Source organism: Homo sapiens, chromosome 14 (assembly GCF_000001405.40).
Source record: "Homo sapiens chromosome 14, GRCh38.p14 Primary Assembly".
Taxonomy (NCBI): domain Eukaryota; kingdom Metazoa; phylum Chordata; class Mammalia; order Primates; family Hominidae; genus Homo; species Homo sapiens.
In genome coordinates, this window is record NC_000014.9 from 95,548,692 (window position 1) to 95,566,476 (window position 17,785).

Genomic DNA, 17,785 nt, shown 5'->3' on the forward strand with positions numbered 1-17,785 from the left:
AGCTTTGATCATCACCACCACCGATGAAGCAACCTTCCTGGGGAGGCCATGCTGAGCCCGAGTCTATGGGGACCTCTTCTGGCTCCAGACCCAGGCTGGGCAGAGGCTGAGACTTCAGCTGGGTGTCAGATACCCCTCACCCCTTGCCCTGATCTTGGGGGCGTTAGGGTGCTGTCAGAGTCTGACATAGGTATTAAAATATTTCAAATCTCAAGGAGAACTTCAGAGTTCTTCAGTACATTTACAAGTAAATTGTAATCCTGGGAAACTAGCAGCACACTTCCTGTTATTCTGGCTTCTTAAATTCTTTTGTTTTTTGTTTGTTTTTGAGATGGAGTCTCTCTCTGTTACCCAGGCTGGAGTGCAATGGCGCGGTCTCGGCTCACTGCAGCCTCTGCCTCCTGAGTTCAAGCTATTCTCCTGCCTCAGCCTCCTGAGTAGCTGGGATTACAGGCACCTGCCACCATGCCCAGCTAATTTTTTGTATTTTTAGTAGAGACGGGGTTTCACCATGTTGGCTAGGCTGGTCTCAAACTCCTGACCTCGTGATCCACCCGCCTGGGCCTCCCAAAGCCCTGGGATTACAGGCATGAGCCACCGCGCCTGGCCTTTAAGTTGTTTTTTAACTTTTTTCCATGATTCCTTAGTAAAGTCTCCTTAAAATGATTCTTGGGAGAGCAGAGGGCAAGGGGCAGTGTCAGTTACACCTGACTAAGTTACTTCAGTTCAGGTGCACTTCGTACAAAGTGTGGTGGGATGTCCATGTCCTAATCCCTGGAATGTGTGACTGTGTTACCTGGGGTAAGTTTAAGCTGTGTTTAAGTTCAGGATCTTGAGATAGAGAGATTGTCTTGGATCACCTGGGTGGGCTTAATGTAATCACAGGTGTCCTGGGCAGGAGGGAAGCAGAGGTTGGAGTGATGTACTCTGAAGAGGGCGGAAGGGGCCACAGGCCAAAGATCGCAGGCAGTCTCTAGAGCTGGAAAAGCCAAGGAAACGGATTCTCCCCTGGAGTCTCCAGAAAGAACACAGGCCATGATTTTAGCCCAGTGAAAGTCATTTTAGACTTCTGACCTCCTGCCCTGTAAGATTAAAAATTGGTGTTAAGCCACTAAGCTTGTCATTTGTTACAGCGGCAAAAGGAGACTAATACACCTGGCTGCCTGGATTTTATGGTGGATGCTTACTTGGTATAAGCAGACAGGGGGAAGGGTCAAACAATTATTGAGCATTTAGATCCGTAATTTGTTTCTCACCAAAGATCTGCAAATGTGGGATATTCTCTCTTCCTTTCAGATGATGACACAGAGACTGGGAGGGGGTCAGGTTACTTGTCCAAGGTCACTACCTGGTGGAATTTGAGCTGTGATCAGATCCATATTGTAGCACCCTTCGGAGGGCCGGCTCAGTGAGTGCAGCCGCTTAGTGCAGCTCTGGCTGTGGTGTCCAGAGTGTTCGCCCTGCAGCCCTGAGAAGAACTGAATTTGAGCTTCAGTTGCCTGTTGAAAGAGCCAGGGAGGCCAGGAATTTTGGAAGTTGCCCCTGGCCATCCACTATCAAGTATGTGAAGGAAGCAGAGGGTCCCACCTCTGAGGTCAGACAAATGGAAGGTGAATGCAAATGATGCCTCCTTGCAAATGATGCCAGGGAAAGCCTCCTGGGCCCCGTGTGTTGTGCGGACAGGTGGCCAGGCCAGAGGTCCCACTGGACTTCACTCTGAAATTCCAGACAGCAGGAAGTAAACAAAGTGCTTTACGAGCGAGTTCCCGCGGTCTGCTGGTCTTTCCCTGCACTTCCGTCCGACCTCGGTCACAGCCCTGGGTGGGGTCAGATATTTCTACCCATACTCAGGGCCACCTGTTGCCCCAAGTTCTCACTTCCTGGCAGTGTCCCTCTGCTAGCCCTTGCTGCTGCCCCCACCTTCCTCTGTCTGCCCGCCACCCCCCAGCCTTTTCCTTGGTCACAGTTGTCCTTTTGTTACCTGCGGTTATCAGAAACATGGTCAAATAGGGTATAAGCTTTTAGTATCCCATTCATTTGAAATTTTAACCTCGTTTTTAATAAAACAATGCATGCATATAATTAGTCAAATGATACTTTAAAAACTACAGTAATAATGAAAAACAGCACTCTCCTGCCTTTTGATCCATGGGTCCTGCTCTCTATAGGAAACAAATTTCCATTTCTTAAGCAGTTTCTTCTGTTTCCCTCCATATTTCATTTTCCTTTCTCTTCCTTTCTTTTTTTGTTTTGTTTTGTTTTTTGAGACAGGGTCTCACTCTGTTGCCCAGGCTGGAGTGCAGTGGTGCAATCACGATTCACTGTAACCTCGACTTCCCAGGCTCAGGCGATTCTCCCACCTCAGCCTCTCAAGTAGCTGGGAATACATGTGTGTGCCACTACGCTCAGCTAATTTTTTGTATTTTTAGAAGAGATGGGGTCTCACTGTGTTGCCAGGCTAGCCTCAAACTCCTAGGCTCAAGAGATCCACCCACCTGCTGGGTGGACCCCAAAATGCTGGGATTACAGGCGTGAGCCACTGCACCTAGCCAATATTTTTTAATGTGCTTATATTGCTATTTCTTTGCTAATAAATCAGATATTATCTAATCTCTTTGCCATTTTGATAGATAAGAATGCTCTCATATAATCATCAATCTACCCTACTTCTCACTGTTCCCTATACAATTAGCGCAATCATCAGTCTTTACATTATTATTGACAATATATATGTTAGTGAAATAAATATATATAAATAAGCAAATGCTGTATTCCTTTTTTTAACTTTTATCTCCATTTATTAAAAATTGCCTTTTTTTAGTTGTTTATTTTCTATTTGATTATTTTGTATTGGATTTTTATACAGTGCACAGGCATCTGCCAAATACCTGTCAATAAAGTTTTTCAACAGAAGCATCAGATAACTCATAGTAGCCCTTGCCCCCTGCCAAGCTCCCTCCTGGAATCCTCCACCCTCCAGCTGCCCTCTGATGTCTATCATCATCCTTGCTCTTCCTGTGTTGAGTTTTCTGTTCCCTGTGTCCCGCATCTTGGTCTTTGTGCTTTATTCCTTTGCTCTGCTGGAGCACATCCTGCCAAAGCTTCCTAAAGAAGATGCATGGGTGGTTCACTTTTTGAGACCAGGTCGTTGGAAAAGGTTTCCTTACTCCCATACTGTTACACAACTTGGGTCTGCCTGCTCAGCACAGTAAGACCAGATATCCACACTGAGGCTTCGCAGCAGTAGAAAGGAAGCCATTTATTTGCAGGGCACCATGCAGGGAGGACCAGGAAGCAAATGCTCAAATCCTGACTCCCCTGATGGCTTGTGGGTAAGGGTTTTTAGAGGTGGGGTACATTTCAGGAAAGTGGAAGCTACAGGCATAATCATGAATCAATACATAGAGATTACACATTGGTTTTGGCCTTGAAGGGTGGGATATTGTGAAGGAGGGGTGGGGCTTACAGGTAGGTTCAAAGATGTTCTGATTTGCAATTGGTTAAGGAAGAGAAGCTTTGTTTCCAACTTTGGGGTCCGTAGAAAAGAATATTATCTCAGGCTCATGGGTGTGGCTCCCTCCAGGCCCCTCAGGAAAAAACTTAGAACAAAGAATGAAGTCCAGACTTCAGTCCCCAGTTCCCTTATCTGAGATACACGTGCCAGTGATTTGTTGGGTGGGGGTCCGGGTTTCTAAAAAACTCAGACATATGTTAAGATGGTATCTCAGTTTCTATAGGGAACCAAATATCTCATGGCTAACTTCCTGGCTACTAGCTTAGGCTGCTATTACCTTCTTGCTCACCAAGTTGCCTACTTAATTCTTAGAGCTAGCTGGTGCCTCGAATTTCCCTTGGAAGCTTCATGGGACCAGGGGGCCCTGTTTTGTTCCCTGGTGCACTCCAAGTGCTTAGAATCACGCCCAACAGAGGTAGGAGCTCGCTATTTACTTATTGAATGGATAGACGGGTGTTAGGGCCACAGCTGTAGCCAGACATGGCTCCTCGTAGGCAAGTGAGGGGCGTGGCTGAGAGCACAGAAAGCTCTGCCATGACAGCAGAGTCTGCCTGGGCATCGGGAGGCACAGAGCGGGGGTCTCCTGGGGCTGAGGGCTATTGAGAAGCGATGCCAGCATGAGTCTTAGAGGACAATGAGCCTGGGACCACCAGGCAGCAGCAGACAACGTTCCTTAGTAGGTCATCTTTGCTGTCACACCCTAAGGAGATGGTGTGCAGCTGACAGTTGTGGCCCTGTCTTAAGTGGATAGGGTCCCACAAGATCATGTGTTGTGCTCAGCAGTGATTATGCTGGTAGAACCTGTACCTTTACATTGAGCCAGACCTTGAATGTGTGGCAGGCCCTAGGCATGTCGCACTGCAGGTGTGTGTGTTGCTGAGTTGCAAGTAGCCACAGGACCCCAGACACACCAGCACCACACTTCGACCCATGCACTCAGGGACCCTTGCCCTCTCTGGTTGCTCCCCTGCCCGCAGGACAGCGAGTCAGTGGGTCCAAGGGCTGTGATCACCTGAGCCCTTGCTCTCTTCCTCCCCAGACCCTAATACAGGTAACAGGGTCTAGGAACTCCCTGCCCCAATGTTCAGGATCTGCGTCCAGGCCCATGAGCTTCTAACCCAGTCCATGCTCCTGAAGAAAGGCAGCACCACCACCCTGGGTGTAAGGACCCCTCTGCGGGAAGGGTGTGGGGTATTGTGGACAGAGCCTGAACACAGAGCTCTGTTGCTCACACTCAGACCCCTCTGGGTGCTGCACGTGTGACCCAACAAAGCAGGTCTGGACGCTCACTGCTGGCCGAGCCCAACTAACAAGAGTGACATCTGATAGAAAGAAAGTGAATTTATTACCCAAACTAGTAGAGGGGAGGCAGCCGAATTCCTGTCCAAATTAACCACTTCAATTTTTAGCAGGAAGGCAAGAGTTTAAAAAAGAAAAACTTGATAAGGAAGGCATGGAAGACTTGGGCTGAGCATAATGTCTGTGTGTCTTGTTTTGGTGGCTGCGTCAGGTCCCAGTCCACCTGGACCTCGGGCTGACATCATCTCCATAATGGCCGGGCTGTTCATCAGCCGCCTTGAGGTCATCCCTGAAACTTTGCAACTGGGTCTCCAGACTTGGTCTGTTTCAAGATCAGCCCCTGGAACTTCTAAGAAGGCACACAATTAGATACTAACATACAGTTAGACAAACGTAAAGAGAGTATGGATGGTGGGAAAGGGAGGGGCATGGAGTCTATTTTGAGGCTAAGGAAAAAGGCTTTTGCAGTTTCCCTCAAGATTGTGTCTTGAAACCCAAGAGAAAGGGAAAAAAGTTTGAAATGCATTTTGAAGTTAAGCTGCCCAGTTACACATGGAAACACGGTTGCTCTCCCTATACCCGCTTAAGGATGTGACCTGGGGTGTCTCTTGCCTCACTTTGCATGCTTGTTTATGCTTCTACCTTGGGGTCTCTCTTGCCTCACTTTGCATGCTTGTTTATGCTTCTACCTTGGGGTCTCTCTTGCCATTGCAGGGGAGAGTATTTGAGGAACAGTTCAATGGGATTTAAGACTGTTTGAGAGGAACCCACAGAGGGGTGGGAGATCACTGGCTTGGGGCATTCTGGGCTGAGCCGTGGGCTTCCTTTTGGTTCTGTCTCTGGGTATGTGTTCTTTTGGTAGGTCTGTGCCAAGAACAAGCTTCACCACTAGGATGGCTGCCTGGGAGCTCTGGAAAGAGAAGTGGACAGCCACAGGACTGGCTATTTGTATCTACAGGCAGGTGGGCTCAACTTGGATGTAAGCATCTGCAGGATTCAGCAGCCAGAGGGACACTGGGACTGGGGCATTGGATTTGGTATCAATCACGCTAACCAGTCTCTTTTCTCCTCCTGCCTCCACAAACCAGTGGTGTGGGCTTTTGTGAAGGAGTCTGCCCCCTTCCTTCATGAAGTCACAGTGGGAGCCTCAGAGCGAGGCATTTGGGAGTAGGCAGTAAAGGGCTAACTGAACAAGCTGGGAGTTCCCAAAACCCTGCCCCTTTCAAAGAAAGAACTGGCTTTTTATCTCCTTCTGGGAGATAACCCAGCAGACCTGGGAATACCCTGCCTAGGAAAGAGTGCTTTTGTGTGCCCAAGGCCCTGGGCCCCATTGGGTCAGTTTGACCTCTGAGGGGCTAGAAACTGAGGAATCCCTGCACTTTGGGAGACCAAGGCGGGTGGATCACTTGAGGTCAGAAGTTCAAGACCAGCCTGGCCAACACGGTGAAATCCCATCTTCACTAAAAATACAAAAATTAGCCGGGTGTGGTGGAGCCTGCCTGTTATCCCAGCTATTTGGGAGGCTGAAGCGCAAGAATCGCTTGAACCCAAGAGGCAGAGGCTGCAGCGAGCTGAGATCGCACACCTGCACTCCAGCCTGGGCGATGGAGCAAGACTCTGTCTCAAAAAATAAAATAAAATAAGGGTCAGAAGTGAACTCTGGGGCCTAAGTCAGTCATATGGGCGCTCCAGCAACACCCTTGGATACCACGGCTCGGTCTCACATCTCTCTCTTGGGTGAGCTTCCGTGGCTGTCAACACTTTGAGTGTGTCATCATACATTGCTGCTGGAAGAAACGCACGCTGTCTGACTCCATTGGGAAGCATATCTGGAAGCTCGTGCCTGGTCTCTCCTGGACTCCACCCTATGCACCATTTACCATTGCTTAAAAAAAAAATCTGTATCCTTTCACTCTACTAAACCAGACAGCAGCTGTTCTGAGTCCTGTGCATCCTTCTACGGAATCATGAAGTCTGAGGTGGTCTTGGGAACCCCCAGCACAGAGGGAGAATCTCCAGGTGGCTGGGCTTGGAACCCCCGAAGGATCATTTCTTTTTTTTTTTTTTTTTTTTTTTTTTGAGACGGAGTCTTGCTCTGTCGCCCAGGCTGGAGTGCGGTGGCGCGATCTCGGCTCACTGCAATCTCCGCCTCCCAGGTTCACGCCATTCTCCTGCCTCAGCCTCCGGAGTAGCTGGGACTACAGGCGCCCGCCGCCACGCCCGGCTAATTTTTGTATTTTTAGTAGAGACGGGGTTTCACCATGTTAGCCAGGATGGTCTCGATCTCCTGACCTCGTGATCCGCCCGCCTCAGCCTCCGAAAGTGCTTGGATTACAGGCGTGAGCCACCGCGCCCGGCCCAGGGATCATTTCTTGGTAACTTCTTACGAATTACCTCTACCACTACCAGGCAGACTTCGTGATTCTTGGACCCATGAACTTTCCCATTGTGCCTGGTGCATAGCTGGTCAAGACTGGAACATGCAGGCAAAGTCTTTTCTAACTCAGGAATGACCATGGAGAAACGAACAGAGTAGAGAAATGGGCTTACAAGACACGGTTCACTCACCTTGGACTTGCTGCCCACTTGTTAGACTTATTTCCTAGCTCAGACCCCTCACTCCCACCCCCAGAAGCTCACACCTGCATCTCTACTCCTTTAAGGATCCAAGCTAAGAGAAACACTTCTAACTCCTCTCTTCCACCTACCTGAGCGTTTCTCAGCAGGGATTTCTTGCCTAGGCTTCAGCCTCCTCCCTTGGCCAGTGTCCTTCGGAAAGACGCCTGACCTCTGTGCCACGTGGTAACCCCAACCCTCATCAACACACAGTAGGGAGACTGCGGAGGGATTGTTTTGTAGCAGGACATTGAGCAAATTGCTTCTCTTCTCTGCCTTTCAAAGACATCTGGATTTTCATTTATTTATTTTTGAGACACCGTTTCACTCTGTCCCCGAGGCTGGAGTGCAGTGGTGCGATCTTGGCTCACTGCAACCTCTGTCTCCCAGGTGCAAGGGATTCTCCTGCCTAAGCCTCCCGAGTAGCTGGGATTACATGCAGGTGCCACCATGCCTGGCTAAGTTTTGTATTTTTAGTAGAGATGTGGTTTCCCCATGTTGGCCAGGCTGGTCTCAAACTTCTGACCTCAAGTGATCCGCCCATCTCGGCCTCCCAAAGTGTCAGGATTACAGGCATGAGCCAGCGCACTGGGCCTATTTATTTAATATTTACATTTGAAGACTTTACCCAGTGTTGACTAATGGTAGCAGAGTTGGCCACTAGAGATACTGATTTAAAGCAGGAGCTTGGGCTGAACCCAGCTGAGAACTAAGAGCTGAAATGAACTTATACTAGCTAGTTGAACTCCAACTCTCATGGAACCGCTTTTTGTGTTTCTAAGTATAAGGGAAAACACTGCTTCCCATTTTTTCCCAATGGGAGGACTTTTGAAAACGTTTTGATAGTTTAAATATAAAAACCTTTATGGATGTGGATGACATAGTCAACTATATTAAATATATGGTACACCAACTATGTTAAATGTGTTTTAACACACGCTTAACATTTTACCAATGAGAGCATTGAGGAACAGAGAAGATGTGTAACTTGACCAGGGACACACAGCTGAAAAAGCGGAAGAACTAGAAAATATAAGGCCAGGCAATTGGCGCTGGAGCCCACAATCTATTAATTTAGCTACATTTAATATATCATCAAGTAATACATTTATTTACAAATGTTGCTTTTCTTCTCAGCTTGTGAAACAACTACTAAAATGCTCTGCTGGAATTTTCAGCATCAGTGTCTCTCATGACTGGAGCACTTTTTGAGCTCTGCCACAAGTTTCCAAGAGCAGCGCTTCTCAAACTTCTCAAACGTGATTGTGCATGTGACTCACCTAGGGATCTAATTCAAATGCAGATTCCTACCGCGCATGTCTAACAAGCTCCCAGGTGTCTCCGCTACTGCTGCTGGTCCACACACCACAGCATGAGAATCAACGTCAAGAGTGCCTTTCCTTGACTTTTTTGAGACAGGGTCTTGCTGTGTTGCCCAGGCTGGGGTGCAGTGGTGTGATCTCTGCTCACTGCAACTTCCGCCTTCTAGGCTCAAGCGATCCTCCCGCCTCAGCCTCCTGAGTAGCTGGGATTACAGGTGCACACAACCACGCCCGGGTAATTTTTTGGTATTTTTGGTAGAGACAGGGTATTGTCATGCTGCCCAGGCTAGTCTCGGCTGCCCAGGCTGCTCCCGAGCTCCAGCGACCCACCCGCCTTGGCCTCCCAAAGTGCTGAGATTACAGGCAGGAACCACTACACTCAGACTACCTTTACTTTTATTTAAGTTTTCTGAGCTGGAGCAGTTTTGAATCCATGTATGACCACTTCCATGAGCATTTTATCTTAAGCACATTAGGACACTGAATTTTTTTTTCTGTAGGTGTTTAACCATGGTCTCTATGATGTAACTACCCATCGATTTGCTTTTTAAAGTGATCTTTAAAAGGCTTGTTTACCGTATGAAAGAATGCTCAACATCACTAATCATCAGAGAAATGCAAACCAAAACCACAATGAGGTATCATCTCACACCAGCCAGAATGGCTATTATTAAAAAGTCAAAAAACAACAGATACTGGCCAGGCTGCAGAGAAAAGGAAACCCTTATTGGTGGGGATGTAAATTAGTTTACATTGTTTGGTGGGAATGCAAATTAGTTCAGCCACTGTGGAAAACAGTTTGGAGATTTCTCAGAGCATTTAAAACAGAACTACCATTCCACCTAGCAATCCCATTACTGGGCATATATCCAAAGGAAAATAAATCATTGCACCAAAAAGACACATGCACTTGTATGTTCATCACAGCACTATTCACGATAGCAGAGATATGGAATCAACCTAGGTGCCCATCAAAGGTGGATTGGATAAAGAAAATGTGGTATATATACACCATGGACTACTATGCAGTCATAAAAAAGAATGAGATAATGTCCTTTGCAGCAACCTGGATGCAGCTGGAGGCCATTATACCAAGTGAATTAATGCAGAAACAGAAAACCATATACCACATGTCCTCACAAATGGAAACTAAACATTGGGTACATATGGATGTAAACAAGGAAACAGTAGACACTGGAGACTACTAGAAGCGGGGAGAGGGAGTCGGGAAAGGGCTGAAAAACTACCTATTAGGTACTATGCTCAGTGATGGAATCATTCCTACCTCAAACCTCAGTGTCATTCAATATATCCGTGTAACAAACCTGCACATGTACCCTCCCAATCTAAAATAAAAGTTGAAATTATATATAAATATAAAAATATATATGTATATATAAATATAAAAATATATACATATGTGTATATAAAAATATATACGTGTGTGTGTGTGTATATATATATATATATTTTTTTTTTTTTGAGACGGAGTCTCGCTCTGTCACCCAGGCTAGAGTGCAATGGTGCTATCTCAGCTCACTGCAACCTCCACCTCCTGGGTTCCAGTGATTCTTTTGCCTCAGCCTCCTGAGTAGCTGGGATTACAGGCATGCACCACCACACCCGGCTAATTTTTGTATTTTTAGTAGAGACAGGGTTTCACCATGTTGGTCAGGCTGGTCTCGAACTTCTGACCTCGTGATCTGCCCGCCTGGGCCTCCCGAAGTGCTGGGATTATAGGCATGAGCCACCGCGCCCTGCCGAAATTCTATATTTTTTAAAAGGCTTATTTACAATGTCGTTCAACATTCCAGCTGGGATTACTAGCTGTATCTGGTTTAAACGTGTTTGGCCAAACAGCTCACCTTGAGGTCATTTCAGGCTAATGTGGCTTCCCCAGAAAGACTGTAGTTATTTAAACTAAAGTAATTGAAAGAGTGCCCAGTTATGTAAGAATCTGGAAAGATTAAACAATAAGCACCTATTCTTTTCAAGAGATAGTCTTGGGAAACGTGAATCTTGCTGATGCAGGCCTTTTGCTTACAGAACTCAGCTGGGCCATGCACTGGCTGTGCCCCAGCCCCCGTGGCTTCTTTCTCACGCTGTCAGGCTTGGACCCACCCTCTGCTCTTGTTCCTTCTCTTTGGAAATTCTTCTTTCCTACACATCTACCTTCTTCTCATGATTCAGATCTTAATTCAAAGAGGTCTTTTCTATTGTCCTGGCTGGAGAGCAAACCCCAGCTTATTCCACCAGAACCCCAGTCAGTATCATCTTTTTTTTGTTTTTTTTTGAGACGGAGTCTCACTCTGTCACCCAGGCTGGAGTGCAGTGGCATGATCTCGGCTCACTGCAAGCTCTGCCTCCCGGGTTCACTCCATTCCCCAGCCTCAGCCTCATGAGTAGCTGGGACTACAGGCGCCTGCCACCACGCCCAGCTAATTTTTTTTTTTTTTTTGTATTTTTAGTAGAGATGGGTTTCACCATGTTAGCCAGGATGTTCTTGATCTCCTGACCTCATGATCTGCCCACCTCAGCCTCCCAAAGTGCTGGGATTACAGGTGTGAGCCACCGCGCCTGGCCCAGTATCATCTTTTATTCTTCTTCCTTCTTCATGACATTTACCAATACCTAAAACGAGCTTGTATACAAATGCATGTATGTACACAAGCATGTATGTATATAACTACATGTGTGTGTGAGAGATGGTACAGCATGTTTACCTTTTGCCAGAATGCAACTTCCAAAAGGGCAGAAACTATGTCTGTCTTATTTTTCTAAGGGCTTAACACTATTTATTGAATAATTAACAAAAGCTCATTCCTTAGACTGTTTAGGATGCCATAACAAAATACTGTAAGCTGGGTGGCTATAAAACAACAGAAATTTTGGCCGGGTGTGGTAGCTCATGCTTGTAATCCCAACACTTTGGGAGGTTGAGGCAGGCAGATTGCTTGAAGCCAGGAGTTCAAGACTAGCCTGGACAACATGGCGAAAACCTGTTTCTACAAAAAATACAAAAATTATCCGGGTGTGGTGGTGCATGCCTGTAGTCCCAGCTTCTTGGAAGGCTGAGGTGAAGGGATTGCTTGAGCCCAGGAGGTGGAGGTTGCAATGGGCCATGACTGTGCCACTGCACTCCAGCCTGGGCAACAGAGCAAGACTCTGTCTCAAATATATATATATATTTCTCACAGTTCAGGAGGCTGGCAAGTCCAAGATCAAGGCCCCGGCTGATTTGGTGTTTAGTGAGGACCCACTTCCTCATAGCTAGCGGCTTCTTCCTATGTCCTTGCATGGTAGCAGGGATTAGGGTGTCTTTGCGGTCCCTTTTATAAGGGCACTAATCCCTCTGCTGAGGATTGCACCGTTACGACCTGATCACCTCCCATAGGCCCCATCTTCTAGTACCATCACCCTTGGGGTTAGTTAGGATTTCAACATAGGAATTTAGGGCAGACACAAACATTCGGACCACAGCAGGTTGCTTTTGGTTTTGTTTTCAATGCTAAGTGGATCAAATCCTTGCATAGTCTGAAATTTTACTCCAAAAGGTAAAATATCAGGCTAGCATTTCTTTGAGATGGCCTGTTCTAAATGCTTTTGTTCTGGTCTGACACAGTCATATCATGGGAAACCAGCAGATGGCGCTGCTTCTCCGGGAATGAGCCCCGTTATTGCAGGTGGCCTCCATCTGGCTCCCTTCTGCCTGCAGGTGCACTTCTTATGCTTCGCCACCACGCGGAGCCGCGTTCTGCACTCTCCACCTTCCCTAAGTAAATTCTCTATGTGAAAAACAAATCAGGGAGATTTCTCTATGTCCCCAGGTAGAGCCCGAGTCCCGTACATTCCACATTTTTTCTGACCTTGCATCCTTCCCATCATTTCAAGGGCCCGAGGGAGAGCGTTTGGGCTCCAGACAACACAATCATATCAGAAACGTCGAATGTGTCCACATCCATTTTTTTTTCTCTCTGGAAATGCTCCCTTTAATAGGCCAGAATAGGGCTTCGAGCTGTCCTAGAGAGAGGGGCAGGAATTTGGGCACTGAAGACCAGAATCAGAACCTGGCTCCCATTTACCTTGGACAAACCACTCAAGCTCTCGGAGCCTCAGTTTCCTCATCGGTAAAAAGGAGAAAATAATAGTGCCTCCTATCAAAGAATAAATAAAAGACATAGGTAATATAATAAGCCAATTAATTTGCTTATCTATGAGGGAAACAAATGATAGATTGACTTCTACATGGGTAGGATTTATATAGGAGACACAAGAGAGAGGGAAAAAGGCAAAAATTGAAAAATCCCAGACAGTTGGGGGTAGCCAACTTTGTTTTCCTTTCCTTAGTTGGGATGTGGAGTAGGTGGTATTCAAAGTATCCTCCCCTTGGGCTGCGGGTGGTCATCAAAGAAGGTAATCTCAATTGTTTAAGGACTCCCCAAGAGCTTGTGGGTTTGACTCTGCCATATTCAAGACAGGCTATCCCTGCGCTGTCTGTCAGGGTCCTTTGATAGCACCTTCATTTCCCACCTGACTGAAGACTCTAAGAATACACATGATATTGTGCTGGAAAATGTGACACGCCGCACACAAATTGCAATTTCCAAGTAGTTCATTGTCGAAAGCTGCTGCCAAATTGGTTGCCACAGCCAGACACCTGGAAACCCCATTTGCCTCCTTCTTCCAATCCAAACAAGTCCTGTTGGTATCTGCCCCCAAATATCTCTTGAATTGCATTTCTTCTCTCCACACCAACCCCTTACCATACCCCGTATTTCCTAACTAGCCCCACCTGTCCATTACCCGTGCTTAAGAAACCACACACCTGTAACTCATCCTGGATTCAACTATGCAGTGGTTCCCTTTGTGCCAGAAAGCTCAGGACGACCCCGGCAGTAGCTGCTGAGGCCCTGTGGCTCTGGGCCCACTCTGGTGATGTCTTCTTTGGCTGTCTGTGCTCCCTCACATTCAGCTGCTTTCATTCTCCTGCAGGCTCCAGGCTCTCTCATCCCTTGGGTCTAAAAAATGCTGTCCTCTTTGGGAGCTCATTCCCTCTCTTTGAACCTTCTCTCATCCAGATAAAAGTACTCATCCCATGGGGCTCAGCTGAAAACACCTGTCTCCGGGGAGGCCTGCCTGACCCCCTAGCATAGGTCACATCTCCCTATCCTGACGTGTGTCTCCTGGGTCCCCATCCCTTCACTATCTCAGCCCTTGGGAGGTCACTTGTCGCCTCCACTAGAATGAAAATTCCCAGAGGGACCTGGCATAGCCAAAGCAGTAGGAGTGGAGGGGGAAGGTGGAAGCTTTGCTTTGCTGTAAAATCAGGCTCAATGTGGCGTCTTCCTCCAAGTCTTGCCTGGTCCATCTAGATAAAACCTGCTGCCTCTCTCCTCTGAAATCCTACTCGCTCTGTATGACCAGCCCGACATCAGGCTTAGCTGTATGAGTGTTGTGAACACTACTGGATTGTAAGAGCTCTAGGAAAGCACCATTGCACAATGGTTAGGAGAATGGCTTAGGAGCAGCGAGCCTGGGTTCGAGTCCTGCACCCCTCCTATTAGCTGAGTGATCATAGGCAAAGTACACATGGCCTCAGAGCCCCAGGCTTTGTCATGGTACAGACGCACTCACAATACCTGTTGTGAGGACCAAGGACGTAACACATCAAGCCCAGCCCTGTGGGCACTTTCTGCAACAATCAGACTGATCACGGGCTGCCACTTCATTTGCATGGGGTGAACACCAAGTGGCCAATGGGAAACCTCCAGTGGGTGGGTACTTGGACCTCAGAAGATTCTGTAACAGGGCCCTTGAGCCGCTGCTCTGGTCACTCCCACCCTGTGGAGTGTACTTTCACTTTCAATAAATCTCTGCTTTCATGTCTTCATTCTTTCCCTGCTTTGCTGTGCATTTTGTCCAATTCTTTGCTCAAAATGCCAAGAACCTGGACAACTTGCAGTCAATATCCTTTACTGGGCCGGGCACGGTGGCTCACGCCCGTAATCCCAGCACTTTAGGAAGCCGAGGCGGGCGGATCACCTGAGGTCAGGAGTTCAAGACCACCCTGGCCAACATGGTGAAACCTCGTCTCTACTAAAAATACAAAAATTAACCAGATAGTGGATGCCTATAATCCCAGCTACTCGGGAGGCTGAGGTAGAAGAATTGCTTGGACCCAGAGGCAGAGGTTGCTGTGAGCTGAGATCGCGCCATTGCACTCCAGCCTGGGCGACAGATCAAGACTCCATCTCAAAACAAACAAACAAACAACAAAAAAAAATCCCTATTGGTAACAAACTGAGTGTGAAGCCTAGCAAAGGTACGCAGTAAATACTGAATGAGTGAGTGAACGAATAAAAAGAAAATCACAGCAAATCATCACTTTTATTTGGTGACTCAGTTCTTAATAACAGGCCAATTTTAAAAACTTAAGCTTAGAAAAAGAAGTGCCTTGTCTAAGGTCCTTGAGCTAGTTCCAACCCAATGGGGCCGAGACCTGCCGGTGGCTGCACACTTGCTGTTAGTTCTCCCCACGCTGCCATGTCCCCAGAAAGGACACCCGTGAGGCTGAGCTTTGCTGAGAAGGTGCCCGGGATATCTCATGGGCAGGGAGTGGTAGGGGTAGACCCTCCCAGTCCTTCCAAATGCCCGTGGAAATCTGCTGGCAGCTGCAAAGGCCTGGCCCAGACACCCTCAGAGATGTTGGTTAATGTGTGGGATTCAGAGGCCCAGGTGTCAGGGAAAATAAAGACAAGGATGCTGGCTGGCTGCCTTCCTCCTTGGCAGTTTGCAAAGTCAATGAGTCAATGTCCCAGAACAGGGCCTTTGGGGAGAAAAGTAGCCAGCTGCGGCTGTGTCCCTGCTGGGAGTGGCTTGCTGAGAACAGTCTTGCTAACCAGCTTCTGTTGGGTTGTGCTGTGTTTGTGGGGTCAGAGTGATGATGGTGTTATTGGCGTCACAAAAAACTGCATGTGGGGGTGCGGTCTGAGCCCCAGGGTCCAAGCTCACTGCTGTGCCGCCATGGTGATCGAGCATCGCGGGTTCCCCTCGCTGTGGGTTTGGGATCAGGCAGTACCTGGTATGGTGCTTGTCTCTTACTGTGAGACCCTGGGCAAACCTGCCCCTCCCTTCTACTCCACAGGCCTTTTCACCTGTCAGAGGGGAGAAGAGTAACATCTGGTTGGGCACAATGCCTCACATCTGTAATCCTGACACTTTGGGAGGCTGAGGAGGGTGGATTGCTTGAGCTCAGGAGTTCAAGACCACCCTGGGCCACATAATATGACCTTGTCTCTAATAATAATAAATAAATAAAATAAAAGAGTAGGCCAAGCACAGTGGTTCACACCTGTAATCCCAGCACTTTGGGAGGCTGAGGTGGGTGGATCACTTGAGGTCAGGAGTTCGAGACCAGCCTGGCCAACATGGTGAAAACCCATCTCAACTAAAGATTTTTAAAAATTAGCCAGGTGTGGCCAGGTGTGGTGGCTCACGCCTGTAATCCCAGCACTTTGGGAGGCCGAGGTGAGCGGATCACGAGGTCAGGAGATCGAGACCGTCCTGGCTAACATGATGAAACCTTATCTCTACTAAAAATACAAAAAAAATCAGCCGGACGTGGTGGCGGGCACCTGTAGTCCCAGCTACTTGGGAGGCTGAAGCAGAAGAATGGCAGAACCCAGGAGGCGGAGCTTGCAGTGAGCCAAGATCGCACCACTGGACTCCAGCCTGGGCAACAGAGTGAGACTCCGTCTCAAAAAAAAAAAAAAAATTAGCCAGGTGTGGTGGTGTGCATCTGTAATCCCAGCTACTTAGGAGGCTGAGGCAGGAGAATCGTTTGAACCCGGGAGGGGGAGGTTGCAGTGAGCCGAGATCATGCCACTGTACTCCAGCCTGGGCAACAGAGCAAGATTCCATCTCAAAAAAAAAAAAAAAAAAAAAAAAAAAAAAAAAAAAAGAGTAATACCTAAGGGAGTATTTGTGAGTTTTAAAGAAAAAAAAAATGCATGTAACATGTCCAGAACAGAACCTGGTGCATTGGAAGCTCTGAATAAATATTATCTTATATCATCATCATCATCATCATTAAGTGGGAACAATTGTTGAGAAATTGATATCAATTGTTTGTAAGAAGTTTTCTAGAAAACACATTGGCCCCCACTCTATCCCCAAGCCCTTCTCAATGGTAGCTCCTAACACAGTGCTGGAGTGTTTGTTAAATGGCCAGGAACTGCTGCTGTTTAACCCGGGGCCTTTAATTGGTGTTGCTGTATCAGGAAATATGGAAGAGGGATTCCCTGGCACCTTTGCTCAACAACCCTGCCTATCTAGTATGGGTCTAGGTGTCTTCATTCATCCATCCATCCCTCCATTCATTCATTCATCAAAGCACTTTTATATACAATATATACTTGATGCCAGGTACTGTGCAAGACATCAGGCACACAATAGAGAGCTAAACCGGGCATGGCTGCTGTGCACAGGTAGCCAGTGGGAGCCAGGCCTTAATCAGACCATCCCATTGATGATAGAAGGGCACTGAAGGACAGGGAGGCTGTTTCCATGAAAGGAGACCTGGGCGTGGGGTGGTCAAGTAAAGCTTCCAGGAGGAAGTTATGCTTCAGGTGAAACTGGAAGGACACATGGGATGAGTGGAAAGGACTTGGACACAAGAGGAAAGGGGAAGGAGGAAGGCAGGGCCCTGCAAGAGCTGGAACCCCCTGGGGTGGGATAAAGGAGGGCACTCTCTTTTGACTCTGGGCATGTTGTAAGAGGAACCTGTTTCACACCAGGGACATTAATAGCAGCCAAATCAGCCTTGACCCCAGAGCAGAATGGGAGACACTGTCTCTTGTGGACATGGAATGGGGGCTGCATTTTCAGCAACAAAACTGGAGGGGGCGCTCCAGGTCCAACACTACTCTGGCTCATATTGTCTCAAGGCTGTGAGAGTCCAAGAAATAAGGATCACAGCAAAGAAGACCTTGTTTTTCTCACTTCTGACCTGGTGCCTTGGTGAGCGTTCCCCAAC

The 17,785-nt window shown here is 47.6% G+C and overlaps 1 annotated feature.

Moving 5' to 3' along the window:
* Positions 8,981 to 9,480: an enhancer, noted in NCBI's record as "H3K4me1 hESC enhancer chr14:96024009-96024508 (GRCh37/hg19 assembly coordinates)". NCBI's record gives its function as "activates a minimal SCP1, AML or CMV promoter by ChIP-STARR-seq in primed H9 embryonic stem cells {active_cell/tissue: H9 hESC(primed)}" and the evidence as "EXISTENCE:reporter gene assay evidence [ECO:0000049][PMID:30033119]".